Below are 15,995 nucleotides of genomic sequence, written 5' to 3'. Positions count from 1 at the left end.
GAGAATGAGTAGGATGAGCAAAGAAAAAAGATCTCATCCTGAGGAAGAAGGGAGTGTTATGGACCAGCTAGATTCTGAGTCAAAAATGAGCCCTGAACTCACAGAGTACAGGGGCACATCAAAGGTTGAACCAGAGCCCATACCCCATGGCCTGGGCCAACAGGAGGCAGTCCTGCCATAACTTACGGTTGGGATGAACAGCAAACTCTCCACACTACTCAGCAGCTAAGGAGACCCATGGAGAAAGAACACAGAGAGACCCAGTAGTCGCTCCACCTGTTAGTCCAGCAACAGGAGGCAAAGGAGGTGAGAGTGATAGGGACAGGAGGCAGGGAAACACTGGATAGAAGAGGGTGGTTCCCTGGCAAAGGCACCACCCTCAAGCCTAGAGACCTGAAGCCCTAAATGGAACAGGCCTTCCTGTTTTTGTGCCCAAGTGTTTCCTTTTGGGCTGCCACACCCCACTATCCTGTACCCATATAAATCCCAGGCTCAAGAATAGATGAGCAGAGGAACAGAAGAGCAGAAGAGCAGCAGAGTGGCAGAATGGCAGAGCAACATGGCAAAGAAGGAGAGAACAGAAGAATCTGAACATGGAGAGGAGTTTAGTTGGGGGCAATTGGAGAGATCAGCTGCAGGATGGCTGAACTCCAGGGGAAGATCATCTTCCCACTCCATCTCCTCTCCAGCTCCCCATCCCACTGAGAGTCACCTTCATCACTCAATAAAATCCCCAAATTCACCATCCTTCAAGTCCATGTGACCTGGTTCTTCCTGGATGCTGGACAAGGACCCAGGTACCAAGAGGGCAGAGTGTAAAAAGCTGTCACCCTGACCTTCCACTGAGCTGGTTTAACATTCAGCCCTCCACAGATGGCAACTGCTAAAAGGGCATTAATTGTAACACACTCCTAGATGCTACCATGGGGCCAGAGCCCAAAAGCACTTGCCTTGGCTCCTGCACCTGCCTGTCTGCATGCTCCCCTTCCCGTAAGGGATTTGAGTGCACAGTGGCTGAGTAAATGAGCCACACTCCTGTCACAAGTCCTGAGAGCGGTTCAGGGAACTCTCCCGTTTCAAGAATAATAGTTGTATGCTTGACATGCTCATGTCTAACACATTCCATACCCATGAGCTGTGCATGCAAAGGCAGAACAATGAAATAGTCAGAAGCATGATTGTTCCCTGAGGAAGATCTGAGCTAGCTCTTAAGAAAAAGAGGTGTTTGCTGGGTGCAGTGGCTCATACCTATAATCCCGACACTTTGGGAAGCCAAGGTTGGGGGATCACATGAGGTCAGGAGTTTGAGACCAGCTTGGCTGACATGGTGAAACCCCATCTCCATTAAAAAAAAAAAAAAGTTAGGCAGGTGTGGTGGCACACACCTGTAGTCCCAGATACTCAGGAGGCTAAGCAGGAGAATCACTTGAACCTGGGAGGTGGAGGCTGCAGTGAGCAAAGATGGTGCCACTGCTCTCCAGCCTGGATGACAGAGCAAGACAAAGAAGGGAAGAAGGGGGAGGGGAGGGAAGGAGAGGAGAGGGGAAGGGAGAGAAGGGGAGGGGAGGGAGGGAGAGAGGAAGGAAGGAGGGAGGGAGGGAGGGACGGAGGGAGGGAAGAGAGGTGCAAAGAAGGTGACACAAACAAGGTCAGAGAGTAAGCAAATGCTAGCCTAGGGCATCATGGCTGGGAGCACAGGCCTGAGGCCTTGCAGGAATCATGCCATTGTGGAAAGTGACTCCAAAATATTCTAGTCAGCCATATACCTTTAATGTCACTATCCACAGAGGGTCCATTTCTAATTGGCATCATCCTAGTTAACAGGCCAATTTCATCACTGAAAAACTATTTCAGACATTCACTAGGTTATTCAAGAAAGCCTGAGTTATTGATCCAATATGGATAGCAAATATGAATGTCTGCTTCACCTTTGTCCTGTGTCCTTCAGAATGTGGGCTTCCTGTTTGGTGTTAATGAAGCACATTGGAATTGTGCTCTCCTCATTAGAATGTGTGTAGCATGTGGATGATAGCTGAACTACACACACACAAACACACCATCACTCTTTTGTACTGAAGTATGTTTAATACAGGCATACCTTTATTGTGCTTTGCAGCTTTAGTGTATTTTTTTTTACTAATTGAAGGTTTGGGACAACCCTGCATTGAACAAATCTGTTGACATCATTTTTCCAACAGCATGTGCTCAGTTAGTGTCTCTATATCACATTTTGCTAATTTTCACAATATTTCAAACTTCATTATTATCTCTGGTATGGTGATCTGTAATCAGTGACCTTTAATATTACTATTGTAATTGTTTGAGGTCACCAGAAACTGTGCTCATATAAGACAGCAAATTTAATTGATAAATATTTTGTGTTTTTTGACTAATCCATGGACTGGCCATTCCCTTGTCTCTCTCCTTCTCCTGGGGCCTCCCTATTCTCTAATACACAACAATATTGATGTTAGGCCAATTAATAATATCTCAGTGGTTCTTAAGTGTTCAAGTAAAAGGAAGAATCGTACATGTCTCCCTTTAAAGCAAAACCTGGAAATGATTTAGCTCAGTGAGGAAGGCATGTCAAAAGCTAAGAAAGACCAAAAGCGAGACCTCCTGTGCCAAACCATTAGCCAAGTTGTGAATGCAAAGCAAAAGTTCTTGAAGGAAATTAAAAGTGTTACTCCAGTGAACCCATGACTAATAAAGCAAAAGAGTCTTAATATTGATATGGAAAAAGTATTAAGGGTCTGGATAGAAGATCAAACCAGCTACAACATTTCCTGAAGTTAAAGTGTAATCCAGAACCCCTAATTCTCTTCAATTCCATGAAGACTGAGAGAAGTGAGGAAGCTGAAGAAAAGTTGGAAGCCTGCAGAAGGAGGATCATGAGGTTTAAGAAAATAAGCCGTCTTCATAACATAAAAGTGCAAGGTGAAGCAGCAAGTGCTGATGGAGAGGTTGTAGCAAGTTATCCTAGCTAAGATCATTGATAAAGTCAGCTACACTAAGCAACATATTTTCAATCTAGGTGAAACAGCCTTCTATTGGAAGAAGATGCCATATAGGTCTTTCACAGTAAGAAAGAAGTCAATGTCTGGCTTCAAAGTTTCAAAGGACAGGTTGACGCTCTTGTTAGGGGCTGATACAGCTGGTGACTTTAAGTTGAAGCCAATGCTCATTTACCATTCTGAAAATCCTAGCAACCTTAAGAATGATGCTAAATCTACTCTGCCTATGCTCCAGAAATGGAACAACAAACCCTGGATGACAGCACATCCATTTACATCATGGTTAATTGAATATTTTAAGCCCACTACTGAGACCTACTGCTCAGAAAAATAGGTTCCTTTCAAAATATTACTACTCATTGACAATGTGCCTCATTACCCAAGAGCCCTGATGGAGATGTACAAGGAAATTAATGTTGTTTTCATGCCTGCTAACACAGCATCCATTCTGCAGCTCATGGATCAATGAGTAATCTTAACTTTCAAGTCTTATTACTTAGGAAATACTTTTGGTAAGGCTGTAGCTGCCATAGATTGTGATCCCTTTGCTGGATCTTGGCAAGGTCAATTGAAAACCTTCTGGAAAGGATTCATCATTTTAAACATCATTAAGAACATTTTTGATTCATGGGAAGAGTCAAAATAACAACATTAACAGGAATTTGGAAGAAGTTTATTCCAATCCTCATGGATGACTTTGAGGAGTTCAAGACTTCTTGGAGGAAATCACTACAGATGTGGTGAAAATAGCACGAGAACTAGAATGAGAAGCGGAGCCTGAAGGTGTGCTGAATTTCTGTGATCTTGTGATAAAACTTTCACAGATGAGGAGTTGCTTCTTATGGATGAGCAAAGACAGTGGTTCCCTACAATGGAATGTACTACTGGTGAAGGCGCTGTGAACATTGTTAAAATGACAACAAATGATTTACAATATGAGATGAACTTACTTGAGAAAGCAGCAGCAAGATTTGAAAGGATTGTCTCCAATTGTGAAAGAAGTTATATTGTGGGTAAAATGCTATCAAACAGTCTCATATGCTACATAGAAATCTTTTGTGAAAGGAAGAGTCAATCGATGTGGCAAACATCATTGTTGTCTTAAGAAATTGTCACAGCTACCCCAGCCTTTAACAATCACCACTAAGATCAGTCAGCAGTCACCAACACTGAGGCAAGATCCTCTATCAGCAAAAAGATTATGACTCACTGAAGAAGACAGCATTTTTTTTTAGCTATTAAGTATTTTAAAATTAAGGTATGTACATTGTTTCTGTTAACATACTGCTGTCTCACACTCAGTAGACTACAGTATAGTGGAAACATGACTTTTATATGCACTGGGAAATAAAACATTTGTATGACTTACTTTATTATGATATTCATGTTATTGTAGTTTGAGACAAACTGAACGTGCAATATCTATAAAGTATGCCTGCAAATTCCAGATGTTGTCATTAATAGTATCTAAATCTCAGATTGACCTGACCTGCATAGTTGCCTGAGATTTTGCTGTTATTTCCAGATCTTTGGGAGCTGAGGCAAATAGCAGTGTGGCTAAGTGTACCCAAAAGAGGGAAGCAGATGCTACCAGCAGGTCTCTGCACCATGTGGTCCTAGGCAAGGCAAAACCTCAGAATGGTGTCCTCAGCCTTGGAAACCCCTTATAAATATCTTCCAACTCTTGTAACAACCCTAAGAAGGAGTCACTAAGAAGTTAGAATTTTTTTTTGTTTTTTTTAGCCAACTCTAGTATCTGCCAGTTGAGCCACATTTGATTTGGTTGAGAAAAAAATAATTTTTTAAAATTATTATTATACTTTAAGTTTTAGGGTACATGTGCACAACGTGCAGGTTTGTTACATAAGTATACATGTGCCACGTTGGTGTGCTGCACCCATGTCCAACAATGATAGACTGGATTAAGAAAATGTGGCACATATACACCATGGAATACTATGCAGCCATAAAAAATGATGAGTTCACGTCCTTTGTACGGACATGGATGAAGCTGGAAACCATCATTCTCAGCAAACTATCACAAGGACAAAAAACCAAACACTGCATGTTCTCACTCATAGGTGGGAACTGAACAATGAGAACACATGGACACAGGAAAAAAAATAATTTAAGCAACATTCCCTACCTCTTGACTATGATGGGTCAAATGCATATTCATTTTATATGTATTATTTAATTTAATTCCCACAGCCAAACTATGGTGTTGGTATTAAATCTCCCCATTCTGCAGTAGAGCAAACTGAGATTCTGAGAGGTTAAGGAACCTTCTTGAGGCCATACAGCTAGTAAGCCAGGGTGCAACCCTAGGTCTGCCTGATTCTAAAGTGTGTGTGTGTGTGTGTGTGTGTGTGTGTGTGTGTGTGTGTGTGTGTATTCTCATCTCCAAAGGCTGACTTTTACATTAAGTGGCAAGGAGCTATTTAAATATATTCAGGCCACAAAGTGTTAATAAAATACAGAAAAAAGTCAGAAAAAATTTTTCCATTTTTATTGCCATTTCTGTCCATTTAAAATTCCTTTCCTGCTAGGTTCTAGCCTTTTGACCCTTATCTTCGTTAATGTAATGACTGGAGAGCCTTGATTGTTTAATTAGAAAATACGGCACTGTTATTCAAAGAGTTGTCACTACCTAAGCTGTAATGGTCAGAGGACAGTCTTAAAACAAGAAAAAAAATACTTGACATATCTCTCTAATTTAATTGTATTTATTTTCATATTTCTAAAAATATCCTCTCTGAAAACAGCTTCTGGGCACAAATTCAAAACTATAAATTGGTCAAGCTGACAGCACTCTCCTCCTCAGCTTCTTCATTTAGGAAATGTCCAAAACGTCATTTGTACCTTGTATTTTGTTTCATCATACCGTACCCTGGATGATGTCTCCCTCCTCTCCCATCTAAAACGTCCAGCTGTCAGCTGGTGCAGTAAGCACTGGATGAACACGGGCTCCAAGCCCCAAGTGGGAGAGGTCCAGGATTCACGGATGTCTCAGACATAGTCCCTGTTCTCAGGAGGTTGTTGTCTTAAGAAACTGCCGCACCCACCCCAGGGCTGGGCTTCTTAGACCTGAGGCCATCTCAGATTCATCCCACCATTGAGAATTTTCATGCTGGTGGTCACCTGATCACACTTTAACAATCCTGGTGTAGGGACCGGGCACAGAGGCTCACAACTGTAATTCCAGCACTTTGGGAGGCCAAGTCAGCTAGATCACCTGAGGTCAGGAGTTCGAGACCAGCCTGGCCAACATGGCAAAACCCTGTCTCTACTAAAACTACAAAAATTAGCTGGGCATGGGGGCGGGTGCCTGTAATCCCAGCTACTCGGGAGGCTGAGGCGGGAGAATCGCTTGAACCTGGGAGGCAAAGGTGGTACTGCACTCCAGCCTGAGTAACAGAGTAAGACTCTGTCTCAAAAGAAAAAGACAGAAAAAAGAAAACAATCCTGGTGTAGGGAGACGAAAAGGAAATTTCAAGGGCACTTGTCAGAAAGTTGAAATGATTGCCACCATAATAGCTAATACCTACTGAACGTTTACTCTGTGTCAGGTACTGCTTCGTGAGCTCAACTCATGTATTCCTTAAAATATTTCTATCGATGCCATTTCACAGATGAAGACACTGAGGCACAGAGTTACTAGGAAACAGAGAAAAGGATTCCTAGGGATGGGGATGGAGACCAGGTGCTTCGGGCTGAATCGTTTTCATCCAAAGTTCGTATGTTGGAAGTCGTAACCTCTGGTGCCTCAGAATGTGTCTGTATTTGGAGACAGAATCTTCAAAAAGATAATTACAGTACAATGAGGTCATTAGGATGGACCCAAATTCAGTATCACTGGTGTCCTTATAAGAAGCGAAATTTGTACACAGACCTGTGGACACACAAAGGAAGAACCAGATGAAGACACAGCAGGAAAGGGGCCATCATCAAATCAAGGAGAAAGGCCTTAGAAGAAAACAGTGGCTCACACCTGTAACCCCAGCACTTTGAGAGTCAGAGGTGGGAGGATCACTTGAGGTCAGGAATTTGAGACCAGCCTGGCCAACGTGGCGAAACCCTATTAAAACTGGAAAAATTAGCCAGGTGTAGTGGCACACACCTGTAATCCCATGTAGTTGGGAGGTTGAGGTAGGAGAATCGCTTGAACCCAGGAGATGGAGGTTTCAGTGGGCTGAGATCGTGCCACTGCACTCAGCCTGGGTGACAGAGTGAGACTCCATCTCAAAAAAAAAAAAAAAAGAAGAAGAAGAAACCAAGCCTGTTGACACCTAAAATTTTGAATTTCTAGCCTCCAGAACTGTGAGCAAATACATTTCTGTTGTTTAAGCCACCCTGTTGTTTAAGCCTGTTTAAGGCACTTTGTCATGGAAGCCAAAGCAAAACAACACAGTAGGTGTTCAACAATGGCTCATTAAAATGGCATGAAGTAGTGTTGCCGACCTGGTCTTTTTAATGACTAGGAGGTCCCATACCTCACTTTCCCGGCATCCCTTGATTAAGACATAGCAGGAATTGGCCGGGCACGGTGGCTCACGCCTGTAATCCCAGCACTTTGGGAGGCCGAGGCAGGTGGATCACGAGGTCAGGAGATCGAGACCATCCTGGCTAACATGGTGAAACCCCGTCTCTACTAAAAATACAAAAAAAATTAGCCGGGCGTGGTGGCGGGCGCCTGTAGTCCCAGCTACTTGGGAGGCTGAGGCAGGAGAATGGCGTGAATCTGGGAGGCGGAGCTTGCAGTGAGCCAAGAACACACCACCGCACTCCAGCCTGGGCAACTGAGCGAGACTCCGTCTCAAAAAAAAAAAAAAAAAAAAAAGACATAGCAGGAATTCTTAGGTGGACCCTCCACACAAAGCCACCGTTCCCTCCCTTCTCCAACCCCACTTGCTCCCCATAAAAGAGTGCTGGCCATGACACAGAAATGCAAGTAGCCAATAGCAGAGCTGTAGGCAGCTACAGGAGAGGAATGGGAAAGAAAGTCTGATGGAGCCATTCTGTAGATGGTGTGTTTCCTTCCTAGGAGCCAAGTCTTAGGCATCGACAACCCTGGGCCTTTTGTTTTCTGTTCAAAGCGACTGGCTTATTTATTCAGGGCCAATGTCTTTTTGCAGTGACTGTCAGATCTTGGTGATTTATCTGTATGTCCCAACCAGATGGCAAGTGATCAGTGATATGGGGTAATACAAGAGGAACCAACCAAATCACACACGTCACATTCACAACTAAATTCTAAATAATCCCTGCCCAACTAATATTCCTAAAACTCAGCAACTGTGGTTATATGGTTCCCCCATGTGGCATGTGGCAGTACCCCCATAACCCCCCAAAACTCAAGCACTATAATTTAGCCAAATGGAACTTCTTATATACAAAATGTTCAAACAAATCCCATTAGAATATAAATCAAATAGCACTTTAAAACAATTTGCTCAGGAAAATCCAGTATAGCTTCCTTTCAGTAGCCTAGGCAGGACAATTTTTCAGTAGTTTTAGGACACCTTGGTATTTTTTTCTTTCCCAACATGTCTGGCACCTAGCAGGCCTTCTTTCTCAAAATGCACATCATTAAACCTTTAAAATAACCCTTGAAGCCCAACGACTTTTGCACCAACCTAAATATGTCCAATTTGTACAGATAAAAGACTTTAGGCACAGAAGGGCTTAGGCATCTAGATCCTCTTCCTGCATATTAAAAAAACAAATGGAGAGGTAAGGATCTTATCTCGGGGTTCCCTGACTCCAAAGCCTGCTAGCTTCCTATTGTTAGAACCACCTTCTTTAGATCAAGGTTTTCCCTCTGAGGTTACCTGCAATGTTTATTTGTATACAGATTTACCTGAACAACATGCAGTCCCGAAAGAGGGATTCATCCCAAACCTGGGAGCCCAACCACAGAGTACCTAGCCAGTGACCTCTTGATGCACCTGTCTAGGGACTAAAGCCACCTTTTTTCACCCATCAATCCCCTTTGCTATGCTAATCAATAGGCCTCTAAATCCAGTTCAAAGAAGACCATTGTCTTGGATCTGAATTGCTCATTCCACAGAGGGATCATTCAAGTGATCCCTCTGTTTACCTGCAAATTTCAGAAAGAGACCAGGCTCTTTTATGAACTGTTGTCTCCGTGATCAAAGTGAATCGTTCAGCCTTGTGATCAAAGAGATGCTAACTCCCAGCTGGACTCCTTTCCCAAACTGCACAGCTCCCTATCAAAGCTGTAATTAAAAAACGGTTCAGCTCAAGAATTCTGATTACAGTATCTAAACAGCCTTCTCCCCACCAGGCTTTGAACAAAGCCATGGAGAGGGCCAGTATAAGCTTCAATATTATGAGAAATTACGGTGACAGTAAATACTGTGATCTCACAGGTCAATATGCCTCGACAGTCTCTAACCTGCTAATTGGCTTTAAAAATCTTAGGGGCACACAGCATGACCCATACAGAAAGGCAAAGATGGAGGAGGCAAAGTAAAGGGGAACCAAGGGGCAGGAAAAGAAGGCCCATGGCCTTTGAAAACCTCCCAGCTTTCATCCAACACTGTTTGCCAACAGGAGCTCTGGGAGACTGTAAAATTGAAGCATCACTTGGTGACATCCTGTGTCTGGGATGGTTTCATGAATTATGTCTGCAGCTGACACAATGAGCATAACAAACTTCTTGTCTCCAGGCTGACACGATTCAGCAGCCCAAAAGGTTCAAAGAGGCTTCCTTTGCAGAAACCCCATTACCCATGGGAAGGAGGGGCAGTGTTCTGAAATGAGACTTACTGTAGAGTCCGGGGCAGAGGGCAAAGAGACAAGACAAGTTAGCTAAGTTTCTTCAAAGGAGGGGAGACCAAGAAAATAAATCATTTTTGCAAAATAAAATAAATCATCACAATCACCAGGAAAGTAACAGGCGGCCAACCTTGATGATACAGATGAAGCATGTTCAATCCAGAGGCCAGTTGTTAAAAGGCAATCAAGGCCAAGACCTCTGACACTTAGCTTGTGTCAGGAGAGATCAGGACAGCACTGGGGTAGTGAAGCCATCTGCATGTTCTGAATCTTTTCTGCAGCTGAGGCTACTGATTCATGCTGACAAAGCAAAGAGAGGCCACCCTTGGAAGTCCGAGTTCTCAAGGTTATGGACTGATGCTAGCTTTAACAGAAACCCGCCGTTACTATATTCAACTCGTCTTACCCCACCAAGAATTCATCAGTTATTATGGCACAGGTGACTTGGTTATGTGGCTTATGTTTCTCCTGTAATTGTTGAACTGTTCTAGTTCTTATCCAGCAGTTCTTATCCCTTATATAGGGGTAGAAATGAAGATTGGATGATGAGGAGTGTATGTGTGGATTTCAGAACGATGAAGGGAAATGGGCTAGAATCCCAGGGACCCTGAATAATATACAAGTCGGGAAAACCCTCAAACCTTTAGTGGACGCTTGAGAAGGACCAGATGATATGCAGTTACTATATAACCCCTGCTGTCCAGCACAGGGCACAGACCTATCCATCTTTATATCCCGGGACGTAGTAATAACATCATAACATGGATTGAGTATCGGCATGCAGACGCCGTTAAGAGCTTGATAGACACTATTTGTATATAAACTATCAAGCAGGTGCTATATACTATGCCTATTTTGCCAGTGAGGAAATTTGAGACTTCAGAGTTAGAAAACTTGCCCAAGTTCACATAGCCAGTAAATAAATAACAAGAGTCAGGATATAAACTTAAGTCTTCTTGACCGCAGGGACTGACCTTGGAAATTCTACCTCTTCCCAGCACAGGGGCTGCTCAGAAAATGTTTGAGAATTTACAGTGGAAAGACAAACAATGCCCATATGGATGAATAAGTAAATGAACAATATCTTTATCTTGGAGTAGCCCCAGGTTCTGGTACTAGACCAAGTCTCTAGGTTGTAAAATTCTTTTCTTTTTATGAGGTAAGGTCTATGTGACAAAAACAAATTATCGTTGCTGTTTTATTAGCAATTAATGATTTTAAAACCCATTGTTAATAATTAATAAAGTGAAATATTAAGTGTAATTCAACTATATATTTTTTAAGTCTGCCAGGACCAGGGTCATACAGGATATAATGTAGGATTTTAATAATGGTTTGCAAATAAAAAGCTATTATTATCACATATCACGGCAATAGGTCAAAGCCAACAAAAATTATATCAAAATGGTGCAAAGGCACTTTATAAAATTTATGACCAGTCTGTTTTTAAAATTCAAGTAGGAATATAAGAGGAGCTACTTACCAGAAAAAGAAAATGTATTTCACACTGATAGTTGGCAGTCACTTCATATCAAAATCAAGAGCCAAAAAAGCAAATTCTTTTTATCATCATATTTTACACTGTTTGAGAAATTCTGACCAAAAAATATTTTAAATAGAAAATATTATTCCTTATAGATCATGTACTTATCAGTCTAAAAGCTCCAAAGGCATGTGGTATAAAGTATCAAAATTTAATGTAACTTAGCAATTTGAATGCAAGATAAACAAATAAAGAGTACCAAAAATAATGTATAAAATAATTTAAAAATTCCTATTTCCAGCAACAACAAAAATGATAATATATCATGAGACAATTCTAATGAAAACTGCGTGACCTACATAGAAAGCTGAAAGACTTTACGAAAAGATATAAAAGAAGTCTTGCATAGAAGGAGAGAGAGATACCATATGGTGAGGCTGGATATTGCTAAAGTATAAATTCTTCTTAAATTAATGTGTGGCTTGCTACAATCTTAACAAAAATCCCAACCTGACTTTGACAAAATGATTCTAAGATTCACCTATAAAAAGAAACCGAATATTGAAGAAAATGTTAAAGGGGAAGTACACTGCATTTTATAAAGCTATAAAGATTTAAATAATGTGACATATGTGCAAAAATAGCACCAGGGACAACAGCCCAGAAAATGATCCTATTATCTATCATATTCTAATATATGATAAGGAATTCATCACAAGTCAATTCCCAGAAAAGCTCGAGTTATTTAATAAATGAGGTTGGATCAATCAGCTAACAATTTGGAACACAATATATTTAAATAATTACCTTATTCCACATACTAAAAGATATCCTGATTAATTAAAAATATAATGTATATAAACAAAAATTAAAAGAATATTCAATTTAATTCTCTTTTTTGAAGGGAGAAAGACTTTCTGTTTTTAAGAATAATAAAATAATTCATAAAAGGAAAGATGGGCAGACAGATCCTAGTACAGTGCACAGACAGCACCCATTTTGACGGATTTGTGTTTGCACTATACTTGTTTACATTTTCAAAATCACTCTTGCAGGCAAGAACATACCAATTAGAATTTTTGCAGGACGAAAACAACAAAAAAAAAATGAGAACCAGCAGACTAGGAAAAATAATGCAACACATTTGAAAAACAGATAAGAAAACCATGAAGACGGTTTCCAGCTTCATCCATGGAAGCTGGAAACCATCATCTTCAGCAAACTATCGCAAAAACAAAAAACCAAGCACTGCATGTTCTCACTCATAGGTGGGAATTGAACAATGAGAACACTTGGACACAGAAAGGGGAATATCACACACCGGGGCCTGTCATGGGGTGAGGGGAGGTGGGAGGGAAAGCATTAGGAGATACACCTAATGTAAATGACGAGTTAATGGGTGCAGCACACCAACATGGCACATGTAAACATATGTAGCAAACCTGCACATTGTGCACACGTACCCTAGAACTTAAAGTACAATTTAAAAAAATTAAACATAAAAAAAAGTGCAGAAAAGGCAAGTTCTTTAGGCTGGGACAATCAAAAAAGTAGGTCATTATATGAACTAGGCTTCAAAAAAAAAGAAAAGAAAAGCATGAAGACTCCTATAGGTAAGTCAACAAAGGAAAGAAACAGAAAATTCACCAAAAAGGGAAATGCAATTAGCAAATCAAATATGGGAAAGTGTTTGATCTCAATGCACATTACGAGATACTATTTTTTCCTGATCATTTTATGTGTGTGTATTTTTTAAACTAAAAAATCCAAATACTCACAAGAATGAGGTGAAAGAGACACCCTTGTGTATTGCTAATGGCAATTAGCAATTGGTAATTTTGGAAAGGAGCCTAGCAATTTGTAGAAGAACTTTAAAATGCTCATTTTCATACTTTTACCCAGGAATTCCTCTCTGGGAAATCTATTCTAAGTAAATAATTCTAGATGTAGAAAACACTGAATGAAGATGTTAAATGCTGTGGTACATATAATAGAAAAAATTGTAATAATTCTTCAACTTCAGACGAATGGTATAACGAATTGAATTATATCCTCCAAAAAGGTATGTTGAAGTCCTAATTCCCAGCACCTTTGAATAGTACCTTATTTGGAAATTGGGTCTTTGCAGATGTGTTCAAGTTAAGATCCACCCTAATCCAATATGACTAGTGTTCTTATAAGAAAAAGAGAAGACATACAGAGTCACACAAGGATAGGCCATATGAGGATGGAGACACAGATTGAAGCAACGCATCTACATGGCAAGGGACTGCCTGCAACACCAGAAGCCATGAGAGAGGCCTGGATAAGCTTCTCCCCTAGAGCCTTCACAGACAGTATGGCCAGCTAGCATCTTGACTTTGGACTTTTAGCCTCCAGAAATGTGAGAGAATAAATTTCTGTTGTTTTAAGCCACTCAGTTTGTGGTAATTGGTTACCACAGCTCTAGGAAACTAATACAAACAGTAACATCTTTATGTTAGTTGAGAAATAATTTCTTAAAGAAATATGCAGCCAATAAAAATAAATTAGAATGAATTAGACTTAGAAAAAGGAGCACAATGTATTATATGTAAATAGGTAGGGTATGATAGCATATGAGGTTATGAATACTATATGCTAAAACAATTCACTGGTGCATAGAAAAAAGACTGGAAGGAATTTCAAGAAAATATGGAAAGTGGTTGCATTTGCATAGTGAAATATCAGTATGTTTTCTACTTTTTTGGAGTTCTCAATTTTCTTTAATGAAAATCTATTCATAATCATCATAGTTGGTTGAAACTAATCAAGACTCATACCTAGGACTAGGGCTGGACTCATCTCTTATAAAATCCTTGGACTTGAAGTTGATAGGTCTGAACAAAATTGGTTCTAATTAACAAGAAAGAGCATAGGATGGTTAGGTAGGCAACTAAAAACTTCTTGTACATTGTTGTACAATGTACAAGATTGTAAAACAATATGTACAAGTTGTAAAAACATCTTGGTCCATTAGGATTGCTGTAACAGAATACTATAGACTAGGTGGCTTATAAACAACAGGAATTTATTTCTCATACTTCTGGAGACTGGGAAGTCCAAGATCAAGGCTCCAGCAGATTCAGTGTCTGGTGAGGGCTCTCTTCCTCACAGCCAGCTGTCTTCTCATTATAACCTCACATGGTAGAAGGAGCCTCTTTTCTATGAGCACTAATTCCATTTATGAGGGCTCTCCCTTCAGGAACTACTCTCCTCCCAAAGTCTTCACTTCCTAATACCATCACTTTAGAGGTTAGGATTTTAACGAATGAATTTTGGGGTAACACAAACATTCAGTCCATTGCATATCAGGTCCTTGTCTACTTCAAGTTTTGATAGAAGCTGTGAAGAGGAGGACAATAAAAATATTATAGCTAATGGGGAGAAGGAAGAGTGTCCTTCCTGAAGAGCAGGTGTTACTACTGAGTGACCATTAGTTCATTGGTAAAGCTCAACTTAATGTGACACATGTTGATTACCTAAGAGCCAATCTTAGAATAATAGACAAACTAACTTTCAGTATTTTTGTGAAACCAAACACTAGCAAATTCCCTACAGTTCTTTCTTTCACAGAGGTGCATGTTTTACTCAGTCAACCACAAAAGTTACATTCACAAAATTCACTGGTATATATTCATAATTTAGTTGTGCATACCCTGACGTATCAGTTTATTTAAACAGGCATTCATTCATATTTCTTGAAAACCTACCAAAAACCCAACACTGGATCAATAATTCATAATACAACACTGAACAAAAACATCATGATTCCAACCCTCAAATATCTTCTAGCCACACTGGAGAAACAGACATTAAACAAAGTATGGCATATAATAGAAAACTATATTGTGACTAAGTGACACAAACAGAAAGCAACAGGTGCCATCATAAGAGCAGATAATAAGGAAAACTATTCTAGCTTGGAAAGACAGGGAAGGTATAGGTAAGATGAGGTTAAACTGATTTCTGAAGAGAAAGGAATTTGCCAAGCAAATTGGAGAAGTAGAGTGATGTTAGTGCTCTGAATAGAAGGAACAGCTTGTGCAAAGTTTTCAAGTCTAGAAATATTCCAGTTGATTTGAGGGGCTAAATGAAGGCAGCGTAATTGCCATGGAATAAGCCAGGCCGGAAGTAGTGAGAGATGAGGGAGTGCACACAGAGCCCTGTAGACAATGTTACAGATTTGGGTCTTAATCCAGAGTGTAATGGAAAGCCACTAATGGAGTTTACTTCCTGACCAGCAGGTGTCACTACTGAGATGACCATTAATTCACTGATAAAACTCAACATTAGTGTGACACATATCACTTAAGACTCATGAATGAAAAATAAATTTGCATGCTATATGCCACTGATATTTTTAAGGTTTGTTACACAGCAATAGCTGACTGACCCACAGCCTTCCCTTCTTTTAGGAATTGTTTGCAGCTTATGGTCCAGGAAATGTTTTCTCTCTCTCTCTTTTTTTGAGACGGAGTTTCACTCTGTCACCCAGGCTGGAGAGCAATAGCTCAATCTTGGCTCACTGCAACCTCTGCCTCCTAGGTTCAAGCGATTCTCCTGCCTCAGCCTCCCAAGTAGTTGGGATTACAGGCACTTGCCACCATGACTGGCTAATTTTTGTATTTTTAGTAGAGACGGGGTTTCGCCATGTTGGCCAGGCTGGTCTTGAACTC

The 15,995-nt window shown here is 40.5% G+C and overlaps 1 long non-coding RNA gene across 2 annotated transcripts in view, besides 2 other annotated features; it reads right to left on the bottom strand.

Moving 5' to 3' along the window:
- LOC105374505 (uncharacterized) overlaps positions 1-15,995 on the bottom strand; it is a 190,382-nt gene that overhangs the window by 91,989 nt on the left and 82,398 nt on the right. The window lies entirely within an intron of this gene.
- Positions 8,685-9,191: an enhancer, noted in NCBI's record as "OCT4-NANOG hESC enhancer chr4:16451690-16452196 (GRCh37/hg19 assembly coordinates)". NCBI's record gives its function as "activates a minimal SCP1, AML or CMV promoter by ChIP-STARR-seq in naive H9 embryonic stem cells {active_cell/tissue: H9 hESC(naive)}" and the evidence as "EXISTENCE:reporter gene assay evidence [ECO:0000049][PMID:30033119]".
- Positions 9,192-9,699: an enhancer, noted in NCBI's record as "OCT4-NANOG hESC enhancer chr4:16451182-16451689 (GRCh37/hg19 assembly coordinates)". NCBI's record gives its function as "activates a minimal SCP1, AML or CMV promoter by ChIP-STARR-seq in naive H9 embryonic stem cells {active_cell/tissue: H9 hESC(naive)}" and the evidence as "EXISTENCE:reporter gene assay evidence [ECO:0000049][PMID:30033119]".

This window comes from Homo sapiens, chromosome 4 (assembly GCF_000001405.40).
Source record: "Homo sapiens chromosome 4, GRCh38.p14 Primary Assembly".
Taxonomy (NCBI): domain Eukaryota; kingdom Metazoa; phylum Chordata; class Mammalia; order Primates; family Hominidae; genus Homo; species Homo sapiens.
This window is presented reverse-complemented; position numbering and strand designations above follow the sequence as displayed.